At 41.1% G+C, this 18,439-nt stretch overlaps 1 protein-coding gene across 3 annotated transcripts in view; it reads left to right on the top strand.

The window, feature by feature from the left end:
* The window catches only part of BAZ1B (bromodomain adjacent to zinc finger domain 1B), an 81,888-nt gene that overhangs the window by 30,466 nt on the left and 32,983 nt on the right, over positions 1-18,439 (top strand). For all 3 annotated transcript variants that reach the window (NM_032408.4, NM_001370402.1, XM_047421016.1), the window contains exons 6-7: positions 2,437-2,634; positions 13,259-14,960. In NM_032408.4, coding sequence (NP_115784.1) covers positions 2,437-2,634; positions 13,259-14,960 — 1,900 coding nt within the window. The remainder of the gene's footprint in view (positions 1-2,436; positions 2,635-13,258; positions 14,961-18,439) is intronic.

Raw genomic sequence — 18,439 nt, 5'->3', positions numbered from 1 at the left:
GAAACAGCTAAGACCTGAGAAGTTTAATAACTGTCAAAATTCTTGATTCAGTAAATGAAAATGGGAAGGATTGTAACCCAAATCTTTTGCTTCTTTATTTACATTGTTTTGTTCCTGCCTCAGAATGCTGACAAGTCCGATTCCATTCTGACTGTTGGTGTTATGGTTCGTGATCAGAAGCCTTGGCTGGGTTGTTAGGATTTTTTTTTTCTTTTCTTTTCTTTTTTTGAGATGGAGTTTTGCTCTTGTTGCCCAGGCTGGAGTGCAATGGCGCAATCTCGGCTCACTGCATCCTCTGCCTCCTGGGTTCAAGTGATTCTCCAGCCTCAGCCTCCCAAGTAGCTAGGATTACAGGCATGCATCACCATGCCTGACTAATTTTGTGTTTTTTGTAGAGACAGAGTTTCACCACGTTGGTCAGGCTGATCTCGAACTCCTGACCTCAGGTGGTCTACCACCCCTTGGCCTCCCAAAGTGCTGGGATTACAAGCGTGATCCACCACGCCCGGCCTAGGTTGTTGTTTTGTTTTTTTGTCTTTTTTGAGACGGAGTCTTGTTCTGTCGCTCAGGCGGGAGTACAATGGCACGGTCTTGGCTCACTACAGCCTCTGCCTCTCGGATTCAAGCGATTCTCCTGCCTCAGCCTCACAAGTAGCTGGGATTACAGGTGCCCGCCACCGTGCCCGGCTAAGTTTTGTATTTTTAGTAGATACGGGATTTCACTATGTTGGCCAGGCTGGTCTTGAACTCCTGACCTTGTGATCCGCCTGCCTCGGCTTCCCAAAGTACTGGGATTACAGGCATGAGCCACTGCACCTGGCCAGGATTTTTTTATATTTGAATATTGGATATTGTTAAATACAATTTTTCACAGAGTTTCTTCTCATTCAGCAAGGTAGCTGATTAAGACATGCCTAGTTTTAGGCCAGGCACGGTGGCTCATGCCTGTAATCCCAGCACTTTGGGAGGCCGAGGCAGGTGGATCACCTGAGCTCGGGAGTTCGAGACCAGCCTGACCAACATGGAGAAACCCCATCTCTACTAAAAATACAAAATTAGCCGGGCGTGGTGGCACATGCCTGTAATCCCAGCTACTAGGGAGGCTGAGGCAGGAGAATAGCTTGAACCAGGGAGGCGGAGGTTGCAGTGAGCAGAGATTGCGCCATTGCTCTCCAGCCTGGGCAACAAGAGTGAAACTCCATCTCAAAAAAAAAAAAAAATGCTTAGTTTTAACCACTTCCCTAAGTATCCCTTGTATTCATATTGATGAGTATAAGTATTTTGTTCACAAATATAAGTATTGGTTACAGGAAGAAAGAAAATGCAAATAAGAAAGAGATAGTATCTGATGTCATGCTCAGAGATAATTGGTGAATATAGATTTAGTGAATGGTAGGTAGCTCCTAAGTGACTTTTTAAAAAAAATTTTTTTGTATTCCTTCCTTCTCTGTTTCCTGCTATTAAGTGACTTTTAAAAGTAGAACTATTCTGTTTATATTATTTTATAACTTAATTTTTTCATTTATTGTGTGCTAAACATCTGTAATGTCATTAAATTTTCTTCCAAAACAGTGTTCTCAGATTTTAATGTGTGTGATAGTCACCAGGGGAGGTGATTAGATATGTTGATTCCTAACCTCTACTGCCAGAGAGTCATAAGATTCATTAAGTGTGTGGTGAGGCCCAAACATCTGCATTTTAATAGTACCCTAGATGATTCTGATGAATTTTTCTGGATTGAGAAAGTTTTTTCATAGGACTGCAGTGTCCATTATATGTACATAGTTTCATTTAACAAATCCCTTATTGGTGTACCTTTAGGTAATAACTCTCAACCCATTCCTCACTTTTTTGCTATTACAAGCATTTGATGACAACTTTGTCCATTTACTTCCTAAGATAAATTCTTAACGAGAGGAATTGCTGAAAGGGTATACATATTTTTAGAAAACTTTGATACATATTGACATATTGCCTAAGGATATTTTTAAATTGACATTCTGTCTCTGAAAATTATTCTCCGTTTTCTGTCTCTCAGATAGGGTCTCACTCTGTTGCCCAGGCTAGAGTGCATTGGTGTGACCATAGCTCACTATAGCTTCGAACTCCTGGGTTCAAGTAATTCCCCTGCTTCAGCCTCCCAAATAGCTAGGACTATTGGCGTATTTTGATTTTTGTACACAGAGGGTCTTGTTATATTGCCCAGGTCGATCTGTAACTCCTGGCCTCAAACAATCTTTATACCTTGGCCTCCTGAGTTGATGAGATTACAAGTGTAAGAAACCATCCCTGGCCTATATATTTTTCTTTCTAATTTGTAGCCCTGTTGATATAGATGGAATTTTGATTTTTCTGGAGAGAACGTATATTGCTTGTTCTCATTTGGGTAATTACTTTTTACCCCAGTGGTGAGTTATTTGTTTCTTTTTAACCTAGATCATCAGTAACGTGCCAGCAGACAGCTTGATTCGTACAGAGCGCCCACCAAATAAGGAGATAGTTCGATACTTTATACGGCATAATGCATTACGAGCTGGTACTGGTGAAAATGCACCTTGGGTCGTAGAAGATGAATTGGTGAAGAAATACTCTCTGCCCAGCAAGTTCAGTGACTTTTTACTTGATCCATACAAGGTAAGGTCACTGTTAATTTTTGGACAGCAGGATAAAGCATCATTATTTCTCTGATGGCTCCAGTATATTTATATTTATAGCAGGTTTTGAACTCTAACATCAGATAATGAATTAAAAATTTTTCAGGTATATCTGTTACATACAGGTTGTTATGTGAGGTTGGTAGGGGAGAGGCCACATTTAATATCTTCCCCAGTTCAATTTATTTTTTATTATGCTAGCATAATTTTAAAAGTCTATATACATGTGCTTTTGTGCCTCAGACCCTTTTTGGAATGAGGTATGGTATAAATATAAAAAGTATTTTGTTAACCAGTTACCAAGAATGAAAACTGATTTTGCATGTCGGACAAGATGATCACATACAGTGGCAGCCTTGAAAAGAACCTGGAATGAGGAGCAGTGTGTGTGATAGATTAGTGGAAAACCTAGTATTTTCCTCTTGAAGAGTAAGTTTTTTTTGTTTTTTTTTTTTTTTTGAGTTGGAGTCTCGCTCTGTCACCCAGGCTGGAGTGCAGTAGTGCGATCTCGGCTCACTGCAACCTCCTTCTCCTTCTTCTCAGCCTCCTGAGTAGCTGGGATTACAGGCATGTGCCACCACACCTGGCTAATTTTTCTATTTTTAGTAGAGATGGGGTTTTGCCGTGTTGGCCAGGCTAGTCTTGAGCTCCTGACCTCAAGTGATCCGCCTGCCTCGGCCTCCCAAAGTGCTGGGATTACAGATGTGAGCCACCATGCCTGGCCGAGAAGGAGTAATTTTTAAAATCCTCACTTTTGATTTTCCAAATATTTTTATGAAGTTATATGGTACATATATATATTTCATTTTACAGATGGGGTATCTGAGGCCTAGTCTAATCAGAACCAACAGAAAGTGATGACAAGACTTAAGACACTGGCCTAGGATTTCTGATTTTCTTTTCCATTTCAAGCTTTACCTGTTAAAGTGGTTTTTTAATGTAGGTTTTGAAAGTACTTAATGCTTCTTTCATTGGTAAATGTAACGCAGCATACTGGCTGATAATTTTCATCTTGGTCTCTGGGCCAGCGTAGAACCAGAAAAGGGCTCTTGATCCATTAAAACTAGGTCACATTTCCAGGATTTCTTTTTTTCCCATTTCATTTAATTATGAAAATATAAAGACATCTGAAGTCATAACAACTAAATTTGTTCAATTATCTTAAGTTGATTATGGTGACAAAAGCATATTGAAAAGTAATTTTATTTCTCCAAAACATTAGTAAAGACCTCCAGTCATGGTTTTAGCACTTAGCAGATTTTCTTATTCTAGACCAGCAAGATAAGTGGTGTCTTCTGTTATGCTCTTTAAATTATTATTATTTGCTTAAAAGGAAAAATTTAGAAAGTAATTGGCTTTTTCTAGATCAGGACTAAATTTTCCATGGAACTATAATTTTTTTCTCAGATGTTTGTTTTTGTTTGTTGAGGAGAAATTTTGAGTTCACTGTCATTTTGTTGCCACAGAGTTTGGAACCATGATTCAGCTTTCTGTGGTCTTCACATGAGATTCCTATCTTCGCTATATGAGAACTCCATGAAACCATCTCTAAATGGGTTTTAGACTAATTCTTGGATTACTTGAGTCCTTAATATTTTCCTCTTTTCTAATCTTACAGCTCTGTTTTATGTATTTTAGTTTAGTGATTCAAGTATGTGAATAATGTGAAAGACTCTTTTTATGGGTAAAATATTTTTTGAGTTTCCTAAGACATAAAAGCTGATCCACACTTATTTCTTACTTTAGAGACAGGGTCTTGCTCTGTTACCCAGGCTGGAGTGCAGTGGGACAATCACAGTTCACTGCAGCCTGAAATTTCTGGGCTCAAGTGATCCTCCTCCCTGTGTCTCACTAGTAGCTGGGGACTACAGGCACGTACCACCACGCCCAGCTGATCCACAATTTTTGTAGGAGAGAGAGACTAGAACTCCAGGAACTTAAAACCTGAAAGGCAATTTCTGAAGAAATAAGCTTCTCCCAGAATTTCTAGTGGGGGCTTAACTTACTAATGTTATGAAATTTGGCTATAATTTAGGTTAAGACTAGGAAATGGAAGCTTGCTTAAAGTGCTGGAAGATGGCAGTGATTTTACTCAGAAAACTTAAGACTCATGTAAAATACTGGTCTACAAAGTTAAAGGCATATACTCAGGTTTATTATTTGTTTTCCCTACCTTAAACAATAATTTCTTATTTCCTAATACTATCTGACATGTCACTGATTGTTTTCTGTATATAAGCTGTGTTTTTCCTATTTATAAAATTAGGACTTTGGCTTCTCAGCCAGGGCAAAACATAGTAACACAGATGATAAGTAGAACCTAAAACATTGCTTTGTTTTCTTTCTTTTTCTAGAAGAAATTTAAAATAATCTGTTGAGGATTAAAGTTGATCACATAGGACCCATCCATCCAAAGGCATGGGATGTTTTCTCTCTCTGTATACTCTTTGGTTTTTGTAGAATGTAATGTTCTGTCAGGCTCTGAGTACATTTACTGTAGAGTGAGACCAGGTGTAAAGAGAGTGAGTTCTGAGCAATAGTTTTAGCAGGCCAGGCGCAGTGGCTCACGCCTGTAATCCTAGCACTTTGGGAGGCCGAGTTGGGCGGATCACGAGGTCAGGAGATCGAGACCATCCTGGCTGACATGGTGAAACCCCGTCTCTACTAAAAATACAAAAAATTAGCCGGGCGTGGTGGCGGGCACCTGTAGTCCCAGCTACTCGGGAGGCTGAGGCAGGAGAATGGCATGAACCTGGGAGGCTGAGCTTGTAGTGAGCCGAGATCACGCCACTGCACTCCAGCCTGGGCAACAAAGTGAGACTCTGTCTCAAATAAATAAATAAATAAAATAGTTTTACCAAAGGACCCATAGTGAGGGCTTACGTGGGAGAGAGGAAAATTATGTAAAGATACAGGAATTTTGGATTGTTACCTGAGTACCTAATATGATGATGAGGGTGTGTTTGTGGTTTTCTAAAATCTTTGTAGAATATAAATTACTTGAGAATAAGAACTACCTTGCTTATTTTATATCTTGTAACGTTTAGCATAGTATGTTGCATATAATAGGTAACTGGCTATTCATTTCTTGAAGTTCCATTTGTTGGAGAAAAATGCCACTGACATTTGGGCTTTAGGGGCAGCGTAATTTTTTGTAGGCCCAATGACTTGGAGGAATGATTTACAAGGCAATTGGGTGATAACTGTCATCTAAGATGAAATCTCTAGCTCATTTTCCTCTTGTAATACATTGCAGCCCTATTTTGTTAGTCTCCATCATGTTTGAGCTCTTATTTTAGACTGATAAATCCTAGTAGGGAAGCCTTTGGATTAGAGATGTAAGAAGAAAATAATACTTTAAGGCATTTGGAATCCTGCATGAATTTAGCCTTGTTCTTAACACATTTTAATATTTTATTAAATAATTTTATACAGGAGAATTGACAAAACACTACCAAATTTCTGTGTACTCTTTAATTAGATTTCCTCAGATGTTAACATTTATCATATTTGTTTATCATTCTCTCTCTCTTTTTTTTTTTTTTTTTCTGAGGTAGGCCTTATGCTGTCTCCCAGGTTAGAGAGCAGTGGAATGATCATAGCTCACTGTAACCTGGAACTTCTGGCTCAAGCAGTCCTCCCACCTCATGCTTCTGACTAGCTAGGATTACCGGTGCTCACCACCATGCCCAACTGATTTTTGTGTTTTTTATTTTTTGTAAAGATGGAGTCTCACTCTTGCCCATGCTGGTCTTGAGCTCCTGGTCTCAAGTGATCCTCCTGCCTCAGCCTCCCAAAGTGTTGGGATTACAGGCGTGAGCCACTGCATCTGGCCTAATCTGCTGTCTATATACACACGAATTATTTTTTCCTGAGCCAAGTAATTTTCCAGACAGGATGCCCTTTTACAGAATACTGGAATATGAATTTCTTAAAAACATTGATATTTGCTAGCTCACACCTGTGTAATTCTACACTTTGGGAGGCTGAGGTGGGAGGATCACTTGAGTCCAGGAGTTCAGGACCTTCTTGGGCAACATGGAGAGATTCCATCTCTACAAAACAAAACAAAAAAATCAAGGATATTTTCCAACGTAACTACAGTACAGTTGTCAAAATCAGGAAGTTAACATTGAAATAACTCTATTATCTAATCTATAGTTTTTACTCACATTTTCCCAGTTCTTCAGTAATCTTTTAACCAAAAAAACAATTTTGTTTTGCTTTAATAGGATCCATTGTGCTACCATGTGTCACATGTTCACATTTACTTGTCTCTTTGGTCTCTTCTAATCTGGGACAGTCCCTCAGCTTTTCTTTGTCTTTCAAAACCTTGACGTTTTGAAATAATAGAACCCGGTTATTTTGTAGAATGCTCTTTGATTTTGGTTTATTTCTTCATGATTAGATTCAGGTTATGAATATTTGGACATTAAGAATTGATGTATTCTTAGTGCATCATTTAAGAAGGCAGTGACATAATTTTGTCCATTACTCATAGTATTACATATTTTATTTATTTTTTTATTTTTTGAGACAGGCTCTTGCTCTGCCCAGGCTGGAGGTGCAGCGGTGTGATCATAGCTCACTGCAGTCTTGACCTCTGGGCTTAAGCAATCCGCCTACCTTAGCCTCCTGAGTAGCCGAGACCACAGGTGTGCACCATGAAGCCCAGCTAATTTTTATTTTTAATTTGTTGAAGAGACAGGGTCTCGCCATGTTACCTAGACTGGTCTCAAACTCCTGGGCTCAAGCAATCCTTCCCCGCCTCGACCCCTGAAGTGTTGGGATTACAGGTGTGAGCTATCATGCCTGGCTGATCTATCTATCTATATCTGTCTGTCTGTCTGTCTGTCTGTCTATCTATCTATCTATCTATCTTCCTCCCTCCGTCCCTCCCTTCCTTCCTTTGACAGAGTCTCGCTCTGTCGCCAGGCTGGAGTGCAGTGGTGCAGTCTTTGCTCACTGTAACCTCTGCCTCCTGGGCTCCAGCGATTCTCCTGCCTCAGCCTCCCGAGTAGCTGGGACTACAGGCACCCACCACCATGCCTGGCTAATTTTTCTATTTTTGGTAGACATGGGGTTTCACCATGTTGGCCAGGATGGTCTCAATCCCTGGACCTTGTGATCCACCAGCCTCGGCCTCCCAAAGTGCTGGGATTACAGGCATGAGCCACCACACCCGGCCTGATTTTTCTTTAAAGTCTCGCTCTTAAAGTTTGTTTGTTGTGTATGGCTGGGCGTAGTGGCTCTTGCTTGTAATTTCAGCAGTTTGAGGGGCTGAGGTGGGAGGATTGCTTGAGCCCATGAGTTTGAGACCAGCCTGGGTAACATGGCGAGACCCTGTTTCTACATACACAAAAAATTAACTGGGTGTGGTGGCGTGTGCCTCTAGTCCAAGCTACTTTGGAGATGGAGGCAGGGTGATCCCTTGAGCCCAGGAGGTCAAGGTTGCAGTGAGCTGTGATCATGCCACTGCACTCCAGCCTGTGTGACAGACAGAGTGAGACCCTGTTTTGGGTGGAGGAAAAAAAAAAGTTTGTGAGTTAGGGGTTAGAACAGAAGTACTTTAAAAGGTAAATTATATTGTTGAAGGAATGGTTGCTAGAAGAAAAAAAATGAAAAGTAAGTTATATTATTTTGAGAACACTTTAAATATATTTTATAGTAACAAATTTTGCAAACTTGCTAATAAAGGCATGTGGAAATTGAGAAAAGCCCACTATTTGAGTGTTGTCCTCAGAGTTCTAACATGTTGCCCTGGGTGAATGAGAACAGTGAGATAAGAATCAATATGGATTGCCAAGGTTTGCTAATTCAGGGTTTTGCTGCCTAGATTATATTGCTTATTATTAAGTTGTGTGCAGCATCTGAATGAGCTGCTACAAGTAATTTCTTTAATTTTTATCCTTTTTTTAATCAAGAAACAGGAGTTGCAGACAGATATTTGTGGTTGTGGTGAGTTTCAAGTGACAGGAACAAATGTAAAATTGTGGACGCTCTCTTTTTCTTTCAACCTTCCATGTTGCCGAGACAGTCATAAATATTTTTTTCTGTTTAGCAATTAGGAAGGGCCTTTGGCAAAAATTATACTGCTGGTAATCCAGGTGTCCTTTCTTCTCCCTCCCCATCTGCTAGTCTGGTAGATTAACTGTGCTGAGTGGGGGATAGGGAGCACTGTTAGCACATAAGTGGTTTTATACTTTTTCAGATCCCCCTGAGTCCAGCCATGCCGGCTCCCATTTGGCTGTGACTGCCCAGCATGCCCCATGCTGAGATGATCCAGTTACTGAAGGACTGCTCACGTGGGGAGCCGGCCTATTGGGAGGGGGTTGGGTGAGTTCATTTCTTTCATTTTTAAGAAAAAAACAAACAAAAACATGGTGTGGCTTGGCACAAAAACACACCTTACGAATAAAAATGGGTTGCTAGACCCTCATGGCTAAGCCATCCCACCATTTTCTTGTATCATTTCTTCATACTACTATGCTTCTAAGTGGAAGAAGTTTAAAGAACCTCATGTAAAATGTGAGTGATTTTTCTTTTAAAATAGAACTATAATCAGTAAATAAAGAAGTGTCCCAGTTATTGTAACAGACCCTATTAAAACATACCTATTTAAAATGCTAAAAATGAAACTTAGTCTCCTTTTTAGCGATAAATTTCATTTTAGGATGACTTTAAATATATAATCTGTTGTTCTGAGCATTAGAAAAAATGTCCGCCTGTATGTGTGTACTCTGAAGATTTTCCAAGGCTGACTGAAGAAGGTTGTTAACTTTTTGGGGGCACACATTTGTTCTTATTTCCTGCCAGGGTAGTAATGGGTCTTGCTCTGCAATTTGGATGGTCTCTGCCATATTCTCTTTGGAGTACTGATAGTAATTACTGTGCATGAAGAGATTGGAGTCTTAAATAAGTTATCTTGGCTTATTCTTCCTAGCATTTTGAAATACAGTTCTGGGAAACTAGAATGAGGAAATTCTGCATCTAGGGAAAGTAATCCCGGAGTCATGGATAGGGTTTATATGTTGTAAAGCTATAAAGCCTCTTTGTCAGCCCATTCTAAGGATGGTTATTGGAGATTGGGGAACAACACATTCCAGTTTCTTTTTGTTTGTTTGTTTGTTTTTTTGAGACAGAGTCTCGCTCTTTCTCCCAGGCCAGAGTGCAGTGGCGGGATCTCGGCTCACTGCGAGCTCCGCCTCCCGGGTTCACGCCATTCTCCTGCCTCAGCTTCCCGAGTAACTGGGACTACAGGCGCCCGCCACCGCGCCAGGCTAATTTTTTTTGTATTTTTAGTAGAGATGGTGTTTCACTGTGTTAGCCAGGATGGTCTCGATCTCTTGACCTCGTGATCTGCCCGCCTCAGCCTTCCAAAGTGCTGGGATTACAGGCGTGAGCCACCCCGCCCGGCAACACATTACAGTTTTAATCAGGCAACAAAAAGGGCAGAGGAACAATAACCTGCAGTTGCCTGGAACTCTTCAAAGGCCAGTTGGCCTTTGAAGTTAGATAGCTTAGCCAAAAGAGGGATTTGTTAAGTATATCCTACTCAGTGTAGGCCATATTTTTTTCCTCTGCGTGTAGCCATGGTTCTGTGGGCTCGTTTCTCTCATTGTATCTTTAATGTTTAAATCTTTTTTTTTTTTTTTTTGAGATGGAGTCTCGCTCTGTTCCCCAGGCTGGAGTGCAGTGGCGCCATCTCGGCTCGCTGCTAGCTCCACCTCCCAGGTTCAGGCCATTCTCCTGCCTCAGCCTCCCGAGTAGCTGGGACTACAGGCGCCCGCCACCGCACCTGGCTAAAATTTTTTGTATTTTTACTAGAGATGGGGTTTCACTGTGGTCTCAATCTCCTGACCTCATGATCCGCCTGCCTCGGCCTCCCAGAGTGCTGGGATTACAGGCGTGAACCACCACGCCCAGCCCCTAATGTTTAAATCTTAATTGGGGTCTGGCTGGGTGGCTCATGCCTGTAATCCCAGCACTTTGGGAGGCGGAGGTGGGCAGATCACCTGTTTGAGTTAGAGACCAGGCTGGCCAACATAGTGAAACCCTGTCTGTACTAAAAATACAAAAGTTAGCCAGGTATGGTGGCGCACACCTGTAATCACAGATACTTGGGAGGCTGAGGCAGGAGAGTCGCTTGAGCCTGGGAGGTGGAGGTTGCAGTGAGCCAGGATTGCGCTACTGCACTCCGGACTGGGAGACAGAGCGAGACTCCATCTCAAAAATAAAAAATAAAAATTTAAATGGCTTTATAGTACAGCTTATTTAATTTTACTAAACCTATTTGCTTTTCTCCTAACAAGAGCATAGGTGTTTTACTGTGTGATCCCTGGGATTTATCTCACCTTAGCCATTTCCCTGTACCCTTTTTTAAGGGGCTCATAATTTCGTTATTCAGTAATCCTTAGCTGTTTTCTTGCCTGTAGTCTCATCTCAAACTAGCCTAACCTACTTGTCTTTAGACTTCTTCTTTACATGTTGCTCTTTTCTGGTTAGTCCCTTCTGTTGAAAAACTGGATGTTCATATCTGTGAGTGCCATTGATGTACTTAGCTGATTTTGGTAATAAAAATCAAGTATTCTAGAGTTGATCTAGTCTTTTCCCTAATCACATAAAGCAACAGTTTTCTTCTGAAATGGGCTGTATTTTGGATTACTTGACTTGGTTATTTCAATTAGTTTGCATTTTAGCTACCAGGCATTTTTCTTTGTAATTATCTTTTTTAAAGCATTCCACTCAAAGAGTTTGGTTTTTCTTTTTTTCAATACACATTTAAAAAGAGAAGCAGTGGTATCATGACAAATGGACCGGACTGTAACCTGTTAACTGATTGTATATGATGGAGATGAGGCATGGGAGGTATGAGGAGATGAGATGTGTATCAGGAGAGTGGGAACATGAGTGGACTAAAGGAACATACTGTGTTTGCTAGGTGATATGGAGGACCCGTTTGAGGTGCCTGGCAATGAATTTAAAGTGAGACCACTCACTTTTTTTTTTTTTTTTTGAGGCAGAGTCTTGCTCCATCGCCCAAGCTGGAGTGCAGTGGCGTGATCTCGGCTCACTGCAAGCTCCACCTTGCGGGTTCACGCCTCAGTCTCCCAAGTAGCTGGGACTACAGGCACCCGCCACCATGCCTGGCTAATTTTTTTGATTTTTAGTAGAGACTGGGTTTCACCGTGTTAGCCAGGATGGTCTCGATCTCCTGACCTTGTGATCAGCCCGCCTTGGCCTCCGAAAGTGCTGGGATTACAGGTGTGAGCCTCCACACCCAGCTGAGACCACCCACTTTTATTTATCTTTTATTTTAGCCGTGTTTCAGCTGAACATATGCAGGGCAGGAGTAAATAGAGTGAGTTAATCAGGGTTATGGTTTTTCCAAGTAGATACAATAGAATAAGAGAGACAAGGGAACTATAGGTTTATGTGAGATTAATTATCATGATTGACTAAAATTTAATCTGGGTAAAGCAAGACATGGGGGTTAGGATGGTGAAAATGTAATAGAATTAATGGATTTAAGGTTCTGGTGAGATTGAAGGATTGTAGAGTTGTGGGACTGGAGGGAGTGGATTTGGAACATAAGAGGGTATGTTCAAAGAGAGGATGGTGTGAAATTAGTTGTGGGAATGAGTTCTTTTTTTTTTTTTTTTTTTGAGACGGGGGTCTTGCTCTGTCCTCCAGGCTGGAGTGCAGTGGTGTGATCCTGGCTCACTGCACCCTCCTCCTCCCGGGTTCAAGCAATTTCGAGCCTCAGCCTCCCGAGTAGCTGGGGTGACAGGCATGTGCCACCATGCCTGGCTAATTTTTGCATTTTTAGTAGAGACGGGGTTTCACCATGTTGGCCAGGCTGGTCTCCAACTCCTGACCTCAAGTGATCTGCCTGCCTCGGCCTCCCAAAGTTCTGGGATTGCAGGGGTGAGCCACTGCGCCTGGCCAGAATGAGTTCTTAAAAGTGTTGGGTGAGGACAAAGGGGAGTTTGAGGCCCAGGTCAGGAGGTGTCTTTATCTATGAGCAGTGTTCATGTTGTTCTTACACTCACTGATGCTTCTATAAGAAAATGTACCTCAGAGTTAAGACAAAAGTACTTTAAACAGTATCATTTCTACTTAAAAGCATAAAATGCCCTGAATAGGAACCAACAGTGAAAGGATGAAAATTCAGTCTTGTTTCAAGAACAGTGCTTTTTAAACTTTTCAGATATTGCCATTTTGTAGATCAGATATCCTTAATCTGGGGTCCATGGATGGATTCTCTGAAATTGTATGCATAGTTTTTGTCTACTATTTCTGCTGGAGGGGTTCACAGATTTTGTTTAAATATTTAAGAATCATTAATATACATAAACAGAACTAGTTACATAGCAAAAATGTCTAGTATTAAGTCTGGATGTCAAGGGAATTTTGTGTTGACATGACAAAAACATTAGCTAACATTCATGTCTTTGTTTTTTCAGGGACAAAGTATCTATGAAGAGATATGAATATGTAGCTTTACCTGAATAGCTGGGGAAGAGGGCCTTTAAGATGCTTAAATGTTGCTTAAGTTAGTTTTAGATTTTAAAATTAATTTTGCTCCTATTCTTAAATTCTAGTATATGACTCTCAACCCTTCTACTAAGAGGAAGAATACTGGATCCCCAGACAGGAAGCCCTCAAAGAAATCCAAGACAGACAACTCTTCTCTTAGTTCACCACTAAATCCTAAGTTATGGTGTCACGTACACTTGAAGAAGTCATTGAGTGGCTCGCCACTCAAAGTGAAGAACTCAAAGAATTCCAAATCTCCTGAAGAACATCTAGAAGAAATGATGAAGATGATGTCGCCCAATAAGCTGCACACTAACTTTCACATTCCTAAAAAAGGCCCACCTGCCAAGAAACCAGGGAAGCACAGTGACAAGCCTTTGAAGGCAAAGGGCAGAAGCAAAGGCATCCTGAATGGACAGAAATCCACAGGGAATTCCAAATCTCCCAAAAAAGGACTGAAGACTCCTAAAACCAAAATGAAGCAGATGACTTTGTTGGATATGGCCAAAGGCACGCAGAAGATGACACGAGCCCCACGGAATTCTGGGGGTACACCTAGGACCTCTAGTAAACCTCATAAACATCTGCCTCCTGCAGCCCTACACCTCATTGCATACTACAAAGAAAACAAAGACAGGGAGGACAAGAGGAGCGCCCTGTCCTGTGTTATCTCCAAAACAGCTCGTCTTCTCTCTAGTGAAGATAGAGCTCGTCTCCCAGAAGAATTGCGAAGTCTTGTTCAAAAACGCTATGAACTTCTAGAGCACAAAAAGAGGTGGGCTTCTATGTCTGAAGAACAACGGAAAGAATATTTGAAAAAGAAACGGGAGGAGCTGAAAAAGAAGTTGAAGGAAAAAGCCAAAGAACGAAGAGAGAAAGAAATGCTTGAGAGATTAGAAAAACAGAAGCGGTATGAGGACCAAGAGTTAACTGGCAAAAACCTTCCAGCATTCAGATTGGTGGATACCCCTGAAGGGCTGCCCAACACGCTGTTTGGGGATGTGGCCATGGTGGTGGAATTCTTGAGCTGTTATTCTGGGCTACTTTTACCAGATGCTCAGTATCCTATTACTGCTGTGTCCCTTATGGAAGCCTTGAGTGCAGATAAGGGTGGCTTTTTATACCTTAACAGGGTGTTGGTCATCCTCTTACAGACCCTCCTACAAGATGAGATAGCAGAAGACTATGGTGAATTGGGAATGAAGCTGTCGGAAATCCCCTTGACTCTGCATTCTGTTTCAGAGCTGGTGCGGCTCTGCTTGCGCAGATCTGATGTTCAGGAGGAAAGCGAGGGCTCAGACACAGATGACAATAAAGATTCAGCTGCATTTGAGGATAATGAGGTACAAGATGAGTTCCTAGAAAAGCTGGAGACCTCTGAATTTTTTGAGCTGACGTCAGAGGAGAAGCTACAGATCTTGACAGCACTGTGCCACCGGATCCTCATGACATACTCAGTGCAAGACCACATGGAGACCAGACAGCAGATGTCTGCAGAGTTGTGGAAGGAACGGCTTGCTGTGTTGAAGGAAGAAAATGATAAGAAGAGAGCAGAGAAACAGAAACGGAAAGAAATGGAAGCCAAAAATAAAGAAAATGGAAAAGTTGAGAATGGGTTAGGCAAAACTGATAGGAAAAAAGAAATTGTGAAGTTTGAGCCCCAAGTAGATACAGAAGCTGAAGACATGATTAGTGCTGTGAAGAGCAGAAGGTTGCTTGCCATTCAAGCTAAGAAGGAACGGGAAATCCAGGAAAGAGAAATGAAAGGTAAAATTTCATGCTGAGAGAAAAGGGGAAGCTCTGTAGAAGATAGTAAAAGAAAGGAAATTACTGAGGTAATGGTAGGGTCTCTGTTTGTTTACTTATTTCTGTATGTAATAACCCAGCACCTATTGGTATGTATTTTATTTTTTATTAGTTCTGTTGATAATTTCATATTTCAGCTGGAGTGTTCAGCCTGGCATTCTGATTAGTTAATAAGTTAATGTGATGTTGGCATCTTTTCTGGGTTCAGTAAAGGACCAAATCTACAAATAGAAATAGTGGAAACAACATAGGACTTGGGAGTTGACTGACCTGGGTTCAGGTTCTAGCTCTGACTTAGCTGTACAGTGTTCCTTTGGGCAGATTACTTATCCGTGCCTCACTTTCCTCATATGCTTGATAAGATTGTTGTAAAATTGATTGACAAGGTATTTGAAGCCCCTAGCACGGTCACCAACTCAGATAGTAATCTGTCCTTTAAGATTTAAGAACTTAAAAATTTTGGGCTTTGATGGCTCCATCGAATCTGAACTTTTAAAAAGCAGCTTTATTAAGAAATAATCGACATACAGTATAATTAGTTCACTTATTGTGTATAATTTAGTGTTTTCAGTAGAGTCACAGATAATGTACAACCATTGCCAATTTTGTAACATTTTTATCATCTCAAAGAAACCTGCTACCCATGAACTGTCATTACCCCATTCGCCCATCCTCCCCAGCCCTGAGCAACCACTAGTCTACTTTGTCTCTATAGATTTGCTATTCTAGGCATTTTCTCTAAATGGAATTGTATAATAAATAGTCTGTTGTGACTTTCACTTAGCATAATGTTTTACATGCTACAACATGAATGAATCTTGAAAACATTATGCTAAGTGAAAGAAGCCAGTCACAAAATAGACCACCTCTATTTAGTTCTAAAACATTTTTTTTTTTTTTTTTTTGAGATGGAGTCTCGCTCTGTCACCCAGGCTAGAGTGCAATGGTTTGATCTTGGCTCACTGCAACCTCCGCCTTCTGGATTCAAGCGATTCTCCTGCCTCAGCCTCCCGAGTAGCTGGGATTACAGGCATGCGCCATCATGCCTGGCCAATTTTTGTGTTTTTGTAGAGATGGGGTTTCACCGTGTTGGCCAGGCTGGTTTCGAACTCCTGATCCACCCGCCTCAGTCTCCCAAAGTGCTGGGATTACAGGCGTGAGCCACTGTGCCCGGCCAGCCACCATGCCGGGCCAGCCACCATGCCTGGCCCCAAAACATTTTTAAAAGAAAACCCAAAAGTCACTCACTCTTCTCCCTTGTCCACATCCCCCAGCAACCACCAATCTGTTCTCTGCATCTATGGATTTACCTATTCTGGATATTTCATGTAAATGCAATCATATAATATGTAGCCTTTTTATGGCTGGCTTTTTTCACTTAGCATGTTCTCCAGGTTCATCCATGTTGTAGCATGTGTTAGTACTTCATTCCCTTTTATGGCTGGATAATATTCCATTGTTTGGATATACCACGTTTTGTTTCTCATTCATCACTTGATAAACATTTAGATTGTTTTCATCTTTTACCTATTATGAACAATGCTGCCATAAATATTCATGTATGAGTTTTTGAGTAGTCATATACTTAAATTTCTTTAGAGTAAATACCTCGGAATAAGATTGTTGGGTCATATGATTATGTTTAACCATCTGAGAAACTGCCAGACTGTTTTCCAAAGTGGCTGCACAATTTTACATGCCCACCAGCAGTGAATTAAAGGTTCTGACTTTTCTCCTTCCTCATCAATACTTGTTATTTTCTGACTTTTTGATGATAGTCATACTAGTGGGTGTGAAATGGTATCTCATTGTGGTTTTGATTTGCATTTCTTTGATGGCTAATGATGTTGAACCATCTTTTCATGTGTCTCCTGGCCACCTGTGTATCTTTGGCGAAGTATTCAGATCATTTGCCCATTATTAAATTGAGTTATCTGATTATTATTGAGTTGTAAGAGTTCTGTATATATTCTAGATACAATTCTCTGTCTGATACCTGGTCTACAAATATTTTCATCTATTTTGCGTGTTGTCCTTTTACTTTTTTTGGGGGAGACGGAGTTGCGCTCTTTTTTGTGCCCAGGCTAGTGCAGTGGCGTGATCTCAGCTCCCTGAAACCTCTGCCTCCTGGGTTCAAGTGATTCTCTTGCCTCAGCCTCCCGAGTAGCTGGGATTACAGGCGTGTGCCACCACACCTGGCTAATTTTATATTTTTAGTAGAGGTGGGTTTTCACCATGTTGACCAGGCAAGGTCTCGAACTCCTGACCTCAGGTGATCCGCACGCCTTGGCCTCCCAGAGTGCTGGGATTACAGCTGTGAGCCACTGCACCTGGCCTGTCCTTTCACTTTCTTAGTAGTATCATTTGAAGCACAAAAGTTTTTTAAATTTGATGAGGTTCATTTTATCTATTTATTCTTTTGTTACTTATAGATTTGGTGTTAGATTTAAGGATCTTTTGCCAAATCCAGGGTCATGAAGATTTACTCCTGTTTTCTTCCAAATGTCTTAATAGTTTTGCCTCTGAAATTTAGGTCTTTTATTTTCAGCTAATTTTTATAGTGTAAGGTAAAAGTCCAGCTTTATTTTTTTTTGCATGTGGCTCTCCAGTTGTCCTAGTGCCGTTTTTTGAAATGACAAACCTTTCCCCATTGAATGGCCTTGATACGCTTGTCAAAAATCATATGACTGTAGGATACGTTGGCTTATTTCTGGACTCTGAATTCTATTTCACTGATCTGTATGTCTGTCTTTATGTAAAAGCCACACTGTCTTGATAACTTTGCTTTGTAGTAAGTTTCGGAATAGGGAAGTGTTGATCTTCCAGCTTGTTCTTTTTCAACATTTTCTTTTTTATTTTATTTTGAGACAAGGTCTCATTCTGTCACCCAAGCTGGAGTGCAGCAGTGTGATCTCAGCTCACTGCAGCCTTGACCTCTTGGGCTCAAGTGGTCCTCCCACTTCGGCCTCCCGAGCAGCTGGGACTTACAGGCATGTGTCAGCACGCCTGGCTAATCTTTTTATTATTTGTGGAGGCTGGTATTGAACCCCTAAACTCAAGCAATCTTCCTGCTTCAGCCTCCTAAAGTGCTGGGATTACAGGCCTGAGCCACCAAACCCCGGCTTGAATAGTTCTTTCATTAGAAAATGTATATTCCTTTTAAAACAAATTTTAGTTTACACTACTTAAGGCCATTGAAATATTTTTGCATATGTATGCATACTGTGCCTGAGTATACATATGTAATGTGTACTTTCCATTTTATTTATTTTTTTGGATACAGAGCGTCGCTCTGTCGCTCAGGCTGGAGTGCAATGGTGCGATCTGGCTCACTGCAACCTCCACCTCCCAGGTTCAAGCTATTCTCGTGCCTCAGCCTCCTGAGTAGCTGGGATAACAAGGCATCTGCTACCACACTCAGCTAATTTTTGTATTTTTAG

Source organism: Homo sapiens, chromosome 7, assembly GCF_000001405.40.
Source record: "Homo sapiens chromosome 7, GRCh38.p14 Primary Assembly".
NCBI classification, from domain to species: Eukaryota; Metazoa; Chordata; class Mammalia; order Primates; family Hominidae; genus Homo; species Homo sapiens.
Note: the sequence above shows the minus strand (reverse complement) of the source record. Positions and strands in the feature narration are given on the sequence as shown.